General features: G+C 41.9%; 1 protein-coding gene across 5 annotated transcripts in view, besides 1 other annotated feature; it reads right to left on the bottom strand.

Annotated features, from left to right (window-relative positions):
• The window catches only part of CYP46A1 (cytochrome P450 family 46 subfamily A member 1), a 43,004-nt gene that overhangs the window by 12,941 nt on the left and 16,850 nt on the right, over positions 1–13,213 (bottom strand). For 3 of the 5 annotated variants that reach the window (XM_017020933.3, NM_006668.2, XM_011536364.2), the window contains 2 exons: positions 7,576–7,714; positions 6,683–6,793 (listed from right to left, as the gene is read on the bottom strand). In XM_017020933.3, coding sequence (XP_016876422.1) covers positions 6,683–6,793; positions 7,576–7,714 — 250 coding nt within the window. Of the gene's footprint in view, positions 1–6,682; positions 6,794–7,575; positions 7,715–8,107; positions 8,876–10,533; positions 10,641–13,213 lie in introns of those variants that run through there. The other 2 variants (XM_005267274.6, XM_011536365.3) reach the window with 2 other exon arrangements.
• Positions 5,462–5,981: an enhancer, noted in NCBI's record as "H3K4me1 hESC enhancer chr14:100174717-100175236 (GRCh37/hg19 assembly coordinates)". NCBI's record gives its function as "activates a minimal SCP1, AML or CMV promoter by ChIP-STARR-seq in naive H9 embryonic stem cells {active_cell/tissue: H9 hESC(naive)}" and the evidence as "EXISTENCE:reporter gene assay evidence [ECO:0000049][PMID:30033119]".

Genomic DNA, 13,213 nt, shown 5'->3' with positions numbered 1-13,213 from the left:
GTGGGACTGCGGAATCATATGGTAGTTCTCTTTTTAGTTTGAGAAACCTCCACACTGTTTTCCATAATGGCTATACAAATTTACATCCCTGCCAACAATGCATAAGAGTTCCATTTCTCTCTATCCTCACCCGCATCTGTTATTTTTTGTCATTTTGATAATAGCCATTCTAACTGGGATAAGATGATATCTCACAGATTTGCATTTATCTGATGATTAGTGACGTTGAACATTTTTTCATATACCTCTTGGCCATTTGTCTTTTGAGAAATGTCTATTCAGATCCTTTGCCAACTTTTTAATGGAATTATTTGCTTTTCTTTTTTTTGCTGTTGTGTTCCTTGTCAGATGAGTGGTTTGTAAATTCTTTCTCCCATTTAACAAGTTGTCTCTTTATTCTGTTGATAGTTTCTTTTGCTGTGCGGAACCTTTTTAGTTTAATATAGTCACATTTAATATAGTCACACGTCTTTTTTTTTTTTTTTTTTTTTTTTTGAGATGGAGTCTCACTCTGTCAGCCATGCTGGAGTGCAGTGGCATGATCTCGGCTCACTGCAACCTCTGCCTCCTGAGTAGCTGGGACTACAAATGCCAAACACCATGCCTGGCTAATTTTTGTATTTTAGGCTAATTTTTGAATTTTTAGTAGAGACAGGGTTTCACCACGTTGGCCAGGCTGGTCTGAAACTCCTGCCCTCAAGTGATCTGCCTGCCTTGGCCTCCCAAAGTGCTGGGATTACGGGCATGAGCCACCATGCCTGGCCACGTTTGTCTATTTTCGTTGTTGTTGCCTGTATTTTTGAAGTCTTAGCTATAAAATGTTTGCCTACACCAATGTCCTGGAGCATTTCCCCTATGTTTTCTTCTAGTGTTTTTATGGTTGCAGGTCTTATGTTTAAGTCTATTAATTTTTTTTTTTTTTTGAGATGTAGTCTTGTAGTCTCGCTCTGTCGCCCAGGCTGGAGTGCAGTGGCATGATCTCAGCTCACTGCAACCTCTGCCTCCCGGGTTCAAGTGATTCTCCTGCCTCAGCCTCCCAAGTAGCTGGGACTATAGGTGTGTGCCACCACACCCAGCTAATTTTTTGTATTTTTAGTAGAGACAGGGTTTCACCATATTAGCCAGGATGGTCTCCATCTCCTGACCTCGTGATCCGCCCATCTTGGCCTCCCAAAGTGCTGGTATTACAGGCGTGAGCTACTGCGCCCGGCCAAGTCTATTCATTTTAAGGTGATTTTTGTATATGGTGAGAGACAGGGGTATGGTTTAATTCTTCTGCATTTAGATATCCAGTTTTCCCAGCACTGCCCTTTCCCCAGTGTATGTTCTTGGTGCCTTTGTTGAGTCTGTTTCCTGTAAATACATGAATATATTTCTGGGCTGTCTATTCTGTTACATTGGTCTATGTCTGTTGTTATTTTTTAAACCAATACCATGCTGTTTTGGTTATTGTAGCTTTATAGTAGATTTTGAAATCGGGTAGTATGGTGCCTCCAGCTTTGTTCTTTTTGCTCAGAGTTGCTTTGGCTATTTGGCTCTTTCGTGGTTTCACGCAAATTTTAAGATTGCTTTTTCTATTTCTGTGAAGAATGTCATTGGTATTTTGACAGAGATTGCATTGAATCTTTAGATTGCTTTAGGTAGCATGGTCATTTTAACAATATTAATTCTTTCGATCCATGAGCATGGGATGTTTTTTCATTTGTTTGTGTCTTCTTCAATTTCTTTCATCAGTGTTTTGTAGTTTTCCTTGTATAGGTCTTTCACCTCCTTGGTTAAATTTATTCCTAGGTATTTTATTTTCTACATAACAATTGTAAATGGGATTGCTTTATTGGTTTCTTCTTCCATGAGTTCATTATTGGTGTATAGAATTGCTACTGATTTTTGTATGCTGATTTTTTTTTACCCCACAACTTTACTGAAGTCATTCATCAGTTCTAAGAGTTTTTTGGTAGAGTCTTTAGGAATTTCTAAATATAAGATCATGTCTTCTGCAAAGAGGGACAGTTTGACTTCTTCTTTTCCAATTTGGACGTCTTTTATTTCTTTCTCTTGCCTGACTGCTCTGGCTAGCACTTCTATTAATAGTACTACGTTGAATAAGAGTGATGAAAGTGGGCATCCTTATCCTGTTCCAGTTCTTAAAGGAAAGACTTTTAGCTTTTCCCCACTAAGTATGATGTTAGCTGTGGGTATATCATATACGACCTTCATTATGTTGAGCTACGTTCCTTCTATTCATAATTCGTTGAGAGTTTTTAATCATGAAGTGGTGTTAAATTTTATCAAGTGCTTTTTCTGCATCTATTGAGATGATCATATGGCTTTTGTCCTTCATCCTGTTAATATGATGTATAACATTTATTGACTTGTGTATGTTGAAGCACCCTTGCATCCCTGGGATAAATCCCACTTAATCATGGTGAATTACCTTTTTAATGTGTTGTTGGATTAGGTTTGTTTGCTAGTATTTTGTTGAATATTTTTGCATCTATGTTCATCAGGGACGTTGGCATGTAGTTTTTCTTTTTTTATTGTGTCCTTGTCTGTTTGTGGTATCAGGGTAGGGTAGTGCTGGCCTCATAGAATAAGTTAGGAAGAGTTCCCTCTTCTTCAATTTTTTGGAATAGTTTGAGAAGAATTGGTGTTCTTCTTCATGGGTTTGGGAGAATTCAGCAGTAAAGACATCTGGTCACGGGCTTTTCTTTGTTGGAAGACTTTTTATTAGTATTTCAATCTCATTACTCACCATTGGTCTGTTCAGGTTTTCTATTTCTTCTTTGTTCAATCATCTTGGCAGGGTGTATGTGTCCAGGAATTCCATTTCTTTTAAGTTTTCCAATCGTTAGTGTATAGTGGTTCATAAAAATCTGTAATGTTCCTTTGTATTTCTGTGGTATCAGTTGTAATGTCTCCTTTTTAGTTTCTGCTTTTATTTATATGGGTCTTCTTTTTTTTCTTGGCTTGGTTTATTGATTTTATCTTTTCCAAAAATCAACCTTTCACTTCATTGGTCTTTGTACTTTTTTAGTCTTTAGTTCCTTTAATTCTGCACTGATATTTATTTCCTTCTACTAATTTTGGCTTTGATTTGTTCTTGCTTTTCTAATTCCTTGAGATATATCATTTGGCTGTTTATTTGAAATCTTCCTACTTTTTTGATGTAAGTGTTTACTGTTATAAACATCGCTCTTAGCACTGCTTTTGCTGTATCCCACAGGTTTTGGTATGTTGTGTTCCCCTTTTCATTTGTTTCAAGAATTTTTTTATTTCCTTCTTAATTTCTTCATTGACCCAGTGGTCATTCAGGAGTATATTGTTTAATTTCCATGTATTTGTACAATTTCCAAAGTTTCACTTGTTATTGATTTCTAGTTTTATTCCATTGTGGTCTGAGAAGATACTTGATATGATTTCAATTTCTTAAAATTTGTTTTGTGGCCTAAGATATGATCTATCCTGGAGAATCTTTCATGTGCTGATGAGAAGAATGTATGTTCTGCAGCTATTAGATGAAAAGTTCTGTAAATGTCTATTAGGTCTATACGGTCTAAAGTGTAGTTAAATCCAATGTTTCTGTGATGATTTTCTGTCTAGATGATCTGTCCAGTGCTGAGAGTGGGGTGTTGAAGTCCCCAGCTATTACTGTATTAGAGTCTATCTTTTCCTTTAGATCTTTGCTTTCTATCTCTGGGTGCTCTGGTATTGGGTGCAAATATATTTAGAAGTATTTTATCTTCTTGCAGAATTGATCCCTTTATCATTATATAATGACCTTGTCTCTTTTTACAGTTTTTGACTTAAAGTCTGTTTTATTTGATATAATTATAGCTACTCCTGACAGCTTTGGCTTGTGTTTGTGTGGAATATCTTTTTCCATTCCTTTACTTTCAGTCTGTATGTGTCTTTACAGGCGAAGTGAGTTTCTTGTAAGCAGCATATAGTTGGGTAATTTTTTTATCCATTCAGTCAATCTATATCTTTTAAGTGGGGGAATTTAATCTAGTTACATTCAAGGTTATTATTGATAGGTAAGGACTTACTCTAGTCATTTGGTTAATTGTTTTCTGGTTGTTTGATTAATTGTTTTCTGTATATATTTTGTGCCTGTCTTCCTCTCTTACTGTTTATCATTGCAGTTTGGTAAACATTCTATAATAGTAATGTTTAACTCCTTTCTCTTTCTCATTTGCTGATCTGCCCTATCAGTGGGCTTTATACTTTCATGTGTTTTCATGATGATAGAGATTGTCCTTTCACTTCCAGATGCAGAATTCCCTTAAACATTTCTTGTAGGGCCAGTCTAGTAGTGATGACTTACCTCGGTTTTTGCTTGTTTGGGACAGACTTTATTTCTCTTTCAGTTTGGAAGTATAGCATTACTGGGTACTATAATCTTGACTGACAGTTTTTAATTTCCAGCACTTTGAATATATTATCCCAATCACTCCTGGCTTGTAAGATTTTCACTGAGCAATCTACTTTAGTCTGATTCCTTTATATGTGAATTCATGCTTCTCTCTTGCTGTTTTTAAAATTCTCTCTGTGTCTTTGACTTTCAACACTTTGACTATAATGTGCCTTGGAGAAGGCAGACCTTTTTGGGTTGAATCTACTCGGAGATTTTTGAGCTCCCATCATTATACAAAGCATGACTATACCTGGATCTCTATATTTCCTGTACCTGGATGTCTATATCTTTTGCAAGACTTGAGAAGTTTTCAGCTATTATTTGATTAAATAGGTTTCATATGCCTTTGCCCATCTCTTCTCCTGAAATTCCCGGAACTGGAATATTTGGTCACTTACTGCTGTCTCATGTCACAAAGGCTTTCTTCAATCTTTTCTTTTTTTGGTCTGATTGGGTTGCTTCAAAAAAGACCTGTCTTCAAGTTCAGAAATTCTTTCTTCTGCTTAATCTAGTCTATTGTTGAAGTTTTCAATTATATTTTTATTCTATTCACTGAATTCCTCAGTTTTAAGATTTCTGTTTGTTTCTCTTTTACATCTATCTGTCTCTCTGTTGAATTTCTCATTCAGGTGATGAATTGTTTTCCTGATTTCTTTGCATTTTTATCTGTGTTCTCTTGTATCTCAGAGTTTAATATCATTATTTTGAATTCTTTTTCAGACATATAATAAATTTTATTTTCTTTGGAATCTGTTGCTGGAGAGTTATTGTTTCTTTGAAGGTATAGTATTTCCTTGCTTTTTCCATGTTTCTTTTGCCCCTTTGTGCATCTAGTGTAATAGTTACTTCTTCCAATTTTATGGATTGGCTTTCATAGGGAAAGACTTTTCTATAGGGGCATTTATAGTGTTGGGTGGGTAGGGTGCTTTGGCTTGATTATGGATTGGCACAGTAACATAGTTTCTGTTTAATTTCTTCAGCTGTAATCAGTGTCAGTGGTATCTCTGAGTTTCTCAGTGGCTTAGACTGTCATTGTTAGTGGAGGCCATCCTGAGGCTTTGCTGAGGATGGAGATGCCAGGCAGGCCAGTCCTTGAGCATCACTGGTGGCAACAGTGGGTAGGATGGGCCTGTGCTCAGGCCCTTGGATGGCATATGTGGGCGCCAGCAGTAGCGGGAGGGATGGGCCTATCCTCAGGTGTCCTCCAATATTGCACACAGGCACTACCTACATTAGGCAGGGCAAGCCAATCCCCAGGCCTCCAGATGGCATGCTTGGGTGCAGGCAACAGTGGGTGGTGGGCTGGGCAGGCTTGTCCTCAGGCCCGTGGATGATGCATGTGGGGGCCAGTGTCGGCAAGTGGGGCAGGCCTCTCCTCAGGCCCTCTCAATGGCAGGCGCTAGTGGCAGCAGTCATGGTAGACCATTCCTCAGGCCCCTGGATGATGCATGTGGGGGCCAGTGTCGGCAAGCGGGGCAGGCCTCTCCTCAGGCCCTCTCAGTGGCAGGCGCTGGTGGCAGCACTCATGGTAGACCATTCCTCAGGCCCCTGGCTGATGCATGTGGGGGCCAGTGTCGGCAAGTGGGGCAGGCCTCTCCTCAGGCCCTCTCAGTGGCAGGCGCTGGTGGCAGCAGTCATGGTAGACCATTCCTCAGGCCCGTGGATGATGCATGTGGGGGCCAGTGTCGGCAAGTGGGGCAGGCCTCTCCTCAGGCCCTCTCAGTGGCAGGCGCTGGTGGCAGCACTCATGGTAGACCATTCCTCAGGCCCCTAGATGATGCGCACGGGTGCTGGCAGTGGGTGGGGCATGTCTGGTCCCTGGACAGTGCGTGCAGGTGGTGGTAGCTGCAGCGGGTGGGGCAGATTGGTTCCCAGGCCCCATGTGGGCACGGGCAGTGGCAGGCAGGGTGCACCTTTCGCAGCAGCCATCTTATGACAATGAGGTGATGTGCTGAGACAGTGGAACAGGAAGACAGAAGGATCCAGAAAATCTGACACCATGGAGCCATCATAGTCATCCTACATTGCCTGCTTTGGGGATCATTTCACATGAGAGAAAGATTAACTCCTAATTTACTTTAAGGCAATTTGATTTTAAGCCTTTACTTTAGGCAATGCATGCAAATCCTGATTCAGAAGTCACTTCAGACATACCAGAACTCAAAACCCATTCTGGGAAAAAAAAAAAAAATCACTGAAGGAGGTTCTTCAGCAAATGAAGACAACAGCTCTGGTGGCTGGTCACCAGAGGGGGTGCTGAGGCAGTACCTTTGCCAGAGTGTTGCGGGACGCAGTGATTCCCTCCAACATAAGTTTCACTGCCTGGGACAGAGGCTTCTGGGCACCCAGCAGCATACTGGTCTCCATCCCAAAAGCTGCCTGGGGGAGAGAGAAGGGCAAGGTCATCCCTGGGGCACAGAAGGGCAGCAGATCCAGGGCAAAGCCTGGCATCATTCTGCTAGACACCTGGACTCTGGGCTAAGGGTTTATATGCATCATATCATCAGCTGCTTACAATGACCCATGATAATTTGATCCCCATGGAATGCTATGAGGATGAAGTAGCTCATAGTAGCTACTCAATAAACTTGGCTTTCTTCCTTGACAAGATGCATTTCCCCTGAAATGCAACCTTCCTTAAGTGTTCATTCTATACTAGCTTCACAGTGAAGTGAATGGATAGCAAAAATGATAAAGGAATAGCAATGTGATAAAGAGGAATCCAGTCACTGTCCCCACACTGCAGTTCCCTGACCTGCCCCGCCCCCACATAAAGTGGGGTTTGGGGTTACTGGGCCCACTGCTGAGTCTACTGGGGTGAAGAGCCAAGTCATACCCTATAGGGAGTGCAGAGGGAAGGCAGCCTTTGGGCTGAGAGTCAGGCAGACCTGAGATCAAATCTTGCTTCTGCCATTGACCAGCTACAGGCCAGGCCCTGCACCTGTCCCTTGCTCAAGAATGAGTTACTAGCCCCAATCTCACACTAGGTTGCTTTGAATATTGAAGGAGACAGAATGTATACAGAATATATGAAGCACAGAGGAATTGCTGGTATGTTAGAGGAGCAGGAGGGAGGGGAAGAGAGAAGGGAAGAGGGAGAGAAGAGACCCCTCTACCCCATGTGGCCCTCCTGGCCCCCATGCCCGACTGTCACCCATCACCTTGGCCAGGATGTCCATGGCGGTGTAGGTCAGCATGTCCTGCATGGACACTGGGGTCTGCCCATCTGCCTTGGCTTCTAGAATCTCCACCAGCTGCTCAGCCTTCTCGTTGAATGTTTCCATTAAGCTAACCAAGGAGCTGGAGAAACAGCACAGGCATCAACGGCCACTGGCCAGCCCAATATGGTGGACTGCCATGTGCCCTCCCTCTCCACAGAGAGGATACTGTGCAGAGTGAAGGTGGGTGGTCCCTCCCAGTCTTTCTGGCCTCCCCTTGAGACCCAGATTGCAGGTTGGAGTTGTAGTAACTGAACTACACCCTGGGGTTTCACCATTCTCCTCCACTCAGGATGGATGCTGTTCCCTTGCTCTTGTCCTAACAGTTCCACAGGTACTCTGTTGGTCACTGTGGCCCTTCAGCCCTGACCTCAAAGGGACGTGACAGTGTAGAAACTTTGGGCCTCCTACAGTCCATGAGAGGGCAATCCCGGTTCCCCTCCTGCCCTCTACTCCCGTTGCCTGCTCTCCTTACCTGCCCTGCCCTGGGCACCAGCTGCAGCATTTTGTTTTCCCACTTCACTGCCTGTCCTTGAGCAATCATGGTGTCCAACTCTATGTGGAAATGAGTCCTCAGATACCATTCGCACCCCAGAGCTCCCAACCCACAGGGCTCCCTCCCAGGCACAGAGCTTAGAAAGAGATATGGAAGAATGCACTCCAAACTCACAAAAATGGCAACCCCAAGGGAGCTGGAAGGAGGAGACTGCCATTTTGTACATTACATGTTTCTGAAATTTTGCTAAGAGAAAATGCTGCTTTTATAATTAAAAGAAATGTTATTTTTATTTATTTATTTTTCCATAGACAGAGTCTTGCTCTGTCATGCAGGTTGGAATGCAGTGGTGCAATCTCGGCTCACTGCAACCTCTGCCTCCTGGGTTCAAGCAATTTTTCTGTCTCAGGCTCCCGAGTAGCTGGGATTACAGGCATGTGCCAGCATGGCTGGCTAATTTTTGTATCTTTAGTAGAGACAGGGTTTCACCATGTTGGCCAGGCTGGTCTCAAACTCCTGACCTCATGATCCACCCACCTTGGCCTCCCAAAGTGCTGGGATTACAGGTGTGAGCCACTGCACCCGGACCTAGAAATGTTAATCTTTTAATATTAATCTGAGTAAAGAGTACATGGGTATTCTTTGTCCTATTCTTATTCTTGAAACGTATCTGAAAATTTGAAATTATTTCCAAATAGAAAATTTTTAAAAAGAGAAATGGGGCCAGGGCCAGGGGCTCATGCCTATAACCCCAATACTTTGGAAGGCGAGAGCAGGAGGATTGCTTGCGGCCATGAGTTCCAGACCAGCCTGGACAACACAGCAAGACTCCGTCTCTGCAAAAAATAAAAATAAAAACTAGCTGGGCATGGTGGCACACTCCTGTAGCCCCAGCTACTTGAAAGGCTGAGGCCGGAGGATCACTTGAGCCCAGGAGGTCAAGGTTAGAGTAAGCTATGGTCACACCATTGCACTCCAGTCTGGGTGAAAGAGTGAGACCCTGTCTCTAAAAAAGAGAGAGAGAATGGGAGAAGAAAAACTAAAATAGTAACCAGCTTTTCATTGCCCAACTAGCCGACGCACATGCCTGGCAGCAGGTGAGCCTGGGGCTCTCCACTCTCATCTGGTCCCTTTGCAACATAAAACACTTTGAAGCATGCTGTTGCTCTTAGGAGGGGGATGAAAATCTTCACCTGAGCTTAAGAGCTGGAGTCTGCTTCTCGCTGACCTCCACCTATAACATTGCCTTCCTGTTCCAGGGGCCTTTTGGCTCCTCCAAATACAATGCTCCTGCCCACCATGGGGCTGGTGCACACACATCCCCTCTCCTGGAGCACTCACCCTCTATCCCCCACAACCATCACTACCTGAATGTCTCCCTTCTCCAGATGGACACTCAAAGGCCGCTTCCTCAGGCAGTAACTCTTGAGCCCCAGGTAGGTGCAATATATGCTCCCACAGCACCCTTGACTTTTTCTCATAATGCTTACATGGTTGGCAAGTATATATTTATTTGCAAGATGATTTGTAGTTGTCTTTTTAAAAAAATCTCATTTAAGTTGATTATCCAGATAGTATGTGGCCGGTTATCATACAAACACTGAATCTCTTGCAGCTATTGTAGAAACAAAACTGGGCTACAGCGTTAGGTGAACAATAAAATCCTGACTCCCTTGGTGGACTCAGACTGAGGTCTTCCCATAAAACCAAAATCTGGAAAAGTAGAAACTAGCAATTTACTCTCACAGTTTTATTAAAAGTACAAAATTATATTCTGTGTGGGTAATGGTTGGAGATGAAACTCATCAGTGGTTCCTATTTTTTCTTCATTAGTGAATTAGGATTCACCAAGGCTCAATAATACTTTCATAAACACAGGCATCTTCTAAAGTTTCTTTCATAAAGCCTTGTAAATTTGGCATTTACTATAGAACAGTCATCTCTAAGACAACATCTTATTGTGAGATTAAAAAATAAAAATATCTGGTGATGGTTGCGTAATAATGCGAATGAATTTAATACCACTGAACTGCACACCTAAAAATGGTTAAGATGGCAAACTTTATGCTGTGTGTATAAAAAGTTAAAAAAATAAAAATGTCTGTGAAAGCACTTTATAAACTATAAAGCACTGTTCAAACATGAGGTTCTATGTGCTGGAGATGCTTCCTCAAGACAATGACATGGTTATGTCATGATCATGTGGGCCATCATCTGGTTAGAATTGATGTTTCCCATAACCTCAAAGCTTCCTGAAGTTTGCTTGGCTGGCCTTTGCAACCCTGGCTCTTGGCACAATAAGTATTTCTTAAATAAATGTCTCTTTCCAGTCTACTCCTTCCCATTTTCACTTCTGACAACTTTCCAGTAAGACTGAGACTATTCCAATTCATTGATTCACTTACGCATTCATTCACTCTATGGGCATTCCTGGAGGGCTTGTGGGGTGCCTGGTGCTGGGCGCAGGACTCAGGGACAGGGTGCGTCTTCTGCCTTCAGGGATCCGTGGTCTAGTGAGGGAGGTGGACATGAATGGAAGCACTACATTGGGTGTGACAGGTGCCTTGATGGAGGCATGAACTCAGCCTCAGTAGGTGACATCTTAGCTGGGTATCAAAGGAGGAACAGGAATTCCCCAGAGGTTCACATTGAGGCAGTGGGAACAGCAGAGATGCCAGAAAAAGCACAGTGGTTTCCAGAAAGGCTGGGGAGAGGGGATGCAAAGGTTGGAGGGGTTTAGGGGCAGACTGAGGGTGAATGGGGTCTGATCTTCATCTCTCAGATGATAGGAAGCCATTGAAGGCTTCAGAACAGGGGAGTGGCATGGTCAGATCTGAGCTTTAGCAAGATCTCTTCAGGATGGTGAGTGGATACATTGGAGGAGGGAGACAGGAGGAGGGTAGGCCAATGAGGAGGCTGTAGCAAGAGTTCTGGCAAGGATGTTTATACAGTTCTCCACAGATTACATAGTCAAGAATTGCTTCACAGTGGAGAAACCTGGTAGGCACCACCTCAACCACTGTGCAAACTTAACATGGCCAGCAATGGGACAAATCAGTAGCATGTGCCTCCTGATACAATGCCCCACAGAGGACACAGCATCACTCTGTAGCATTACCACCAAAGAGGGATAGCCTGAGTCTAACAGTGCAGAGAGACAGCTGACAAATTCAAACTGAAGAACCATCTACAAAACTGTCCTGTCATCTTCAAAAATGTTAAGGTAAAGAAAGCCAAAGAAAGGCTGAGAACTGTTCTAGAATAAAGGGGGCTAAAGTGACAGGGGAATTAAATGAAAAACATGAACATGGATTAGATTTTAGACAAAGAAAACAGCTACAACTGTACAAATGACAAATTTTGAATATGAACTGTGAATTAGATAACAGTATTAGATTAATATTATTAATTTTCTCATTTTGATAAACTATAGTTTGTAGTCATTGTTCATGGAAGTATTTAAAGGTGGGGAGCACAATGTCTCTAACTCTTAAATGGTTTTTTAAAATATGTACTATATAAAAAATATAAATATATGTATATACACACAGTGATAAATATATTTACATATACACTCATAAAGAGAAGAAATGATAAAGCAAATGGTGATTTAAATAATAAATAATAAGTGAATCTGGGTAAAAGATATATAAGAGTCCCTTACACTATTCTGGCAATTTTTCTATAAATTCAAAATTATATCAAAGATTACCTTCTTTCCAATGTTAAAATAGAGTTACCATGTGACTCAAAAATTCCACTAGGTAAATACCCAGGAGAAATGAAAACATATGTCCATACAAACACTTGTACAAAAATGCTCATAGCAGCATTTTTCATAATAGCCCAAAAGTGGAAACAGCCCAAAAGTCCATTAACTGATGAATGGGTAAACAATATGTGGTATATCCATACAATGGAATATTATTTGACAATAAAAAGGAATGAGGCATTAATATAGATGACACCATGGATGAGCCTTAGAAACAAGATGCTAATGAAAGAAGCCAGGCATAAAGGACTACATATTGCATGATTCTATTTATATAAAATGTCTAGAATGCAAAAATCCATAGACAAAGAAGGTAATTAGTGGTTGCCAGCAGGTAGGGGAATTGGGAAGAAATGAGGAATGACTGCCTTTTTTTTTTTTTTTTTTTTTTGAGATGGAGTCTCGCTCTGTCACCCAGGCTGGAGTGCAGTGGAGTGATCTCAGCTCACTTCAACCTCCGCCTCCCAGGTTCAAGTGATTATCCTACCTTAGCCTCCCGCGTAGCTGGGATTACAGGTATGCGCCACCACACCCAGCTAATTTTTGTATCTTTAGTAAAGATATGGTTTCTCCATGTTGGCTAGGCTGGTCATGAACTCCTGATCTCAGGTGATCCGCCTGCCTTGGCCCCCCAAAGTGCTGGGATTACAGGCATGAACCACCACGCCTGGCTGAATGACTGCTTTTGAGGGTGATGAAAATGTTCTAAAATGTGCTGTGTTGATGGTTATAGAATTCTATGAATATACCAACGCCATTGAATCGTACACTTTAAATGGGTGAGCTGTATGGTATGTGAATTATACCTCCATAATAGTTATTTAAAAAGTAAAGTACAGTCATGTGTTACTTAACGACAAGGATACATTCTAAGAAATGTGTTGTTAGGGAATGTCTTCATTGTGTGTACAGCATAGAGTATACTTACACAAACCTAGACAGTATAGCCTACTACACACCTAGGCCATATGGTCTAGACTATTGCTCCTAGGCTATACACCTGTGCAACAGGTTACTGCAACACAATGGTATTTGTATATCTAAACATAGAAAAGGTACAGTAAAAATACAGTCTAAAAGATTTTTTTAAATGGTCCACCTGGATAGGGCACTTACTGTGAATGGAGCTTGCAGGACTGGAAGTTGCTCTGGGTGAGTCAGTGAGTGAGTGGTGAGTGTGAAGGCCTAGGACATTACTGCACGCTAATGTAGACTTATAAAAACCAGACACAGGCTACACTGAGTTAAAAATTTTTTTTCTTTCTTCAATAATAAATTAGCCTTAGCTTACTAGAACTTTTTACTTTATAAAC

The sequence above is a fragment of the Homo sapiens genome, chromosome 14 (genome assembly GCF_000001405.40).
Source record: "Homo sapiens chromosome 14, GRCh38.p14 Primary Assembly".
Classification (NCBI taxonomy): domain Eukaryota; kingdom Metazoa; phylum Chordata; class Mammalia; order Primates; family Hominidae; genus Homo; species Homo sapiens.
This window is presented reverse-complemented; position numbering and strand designations above follow the sequence as displayed.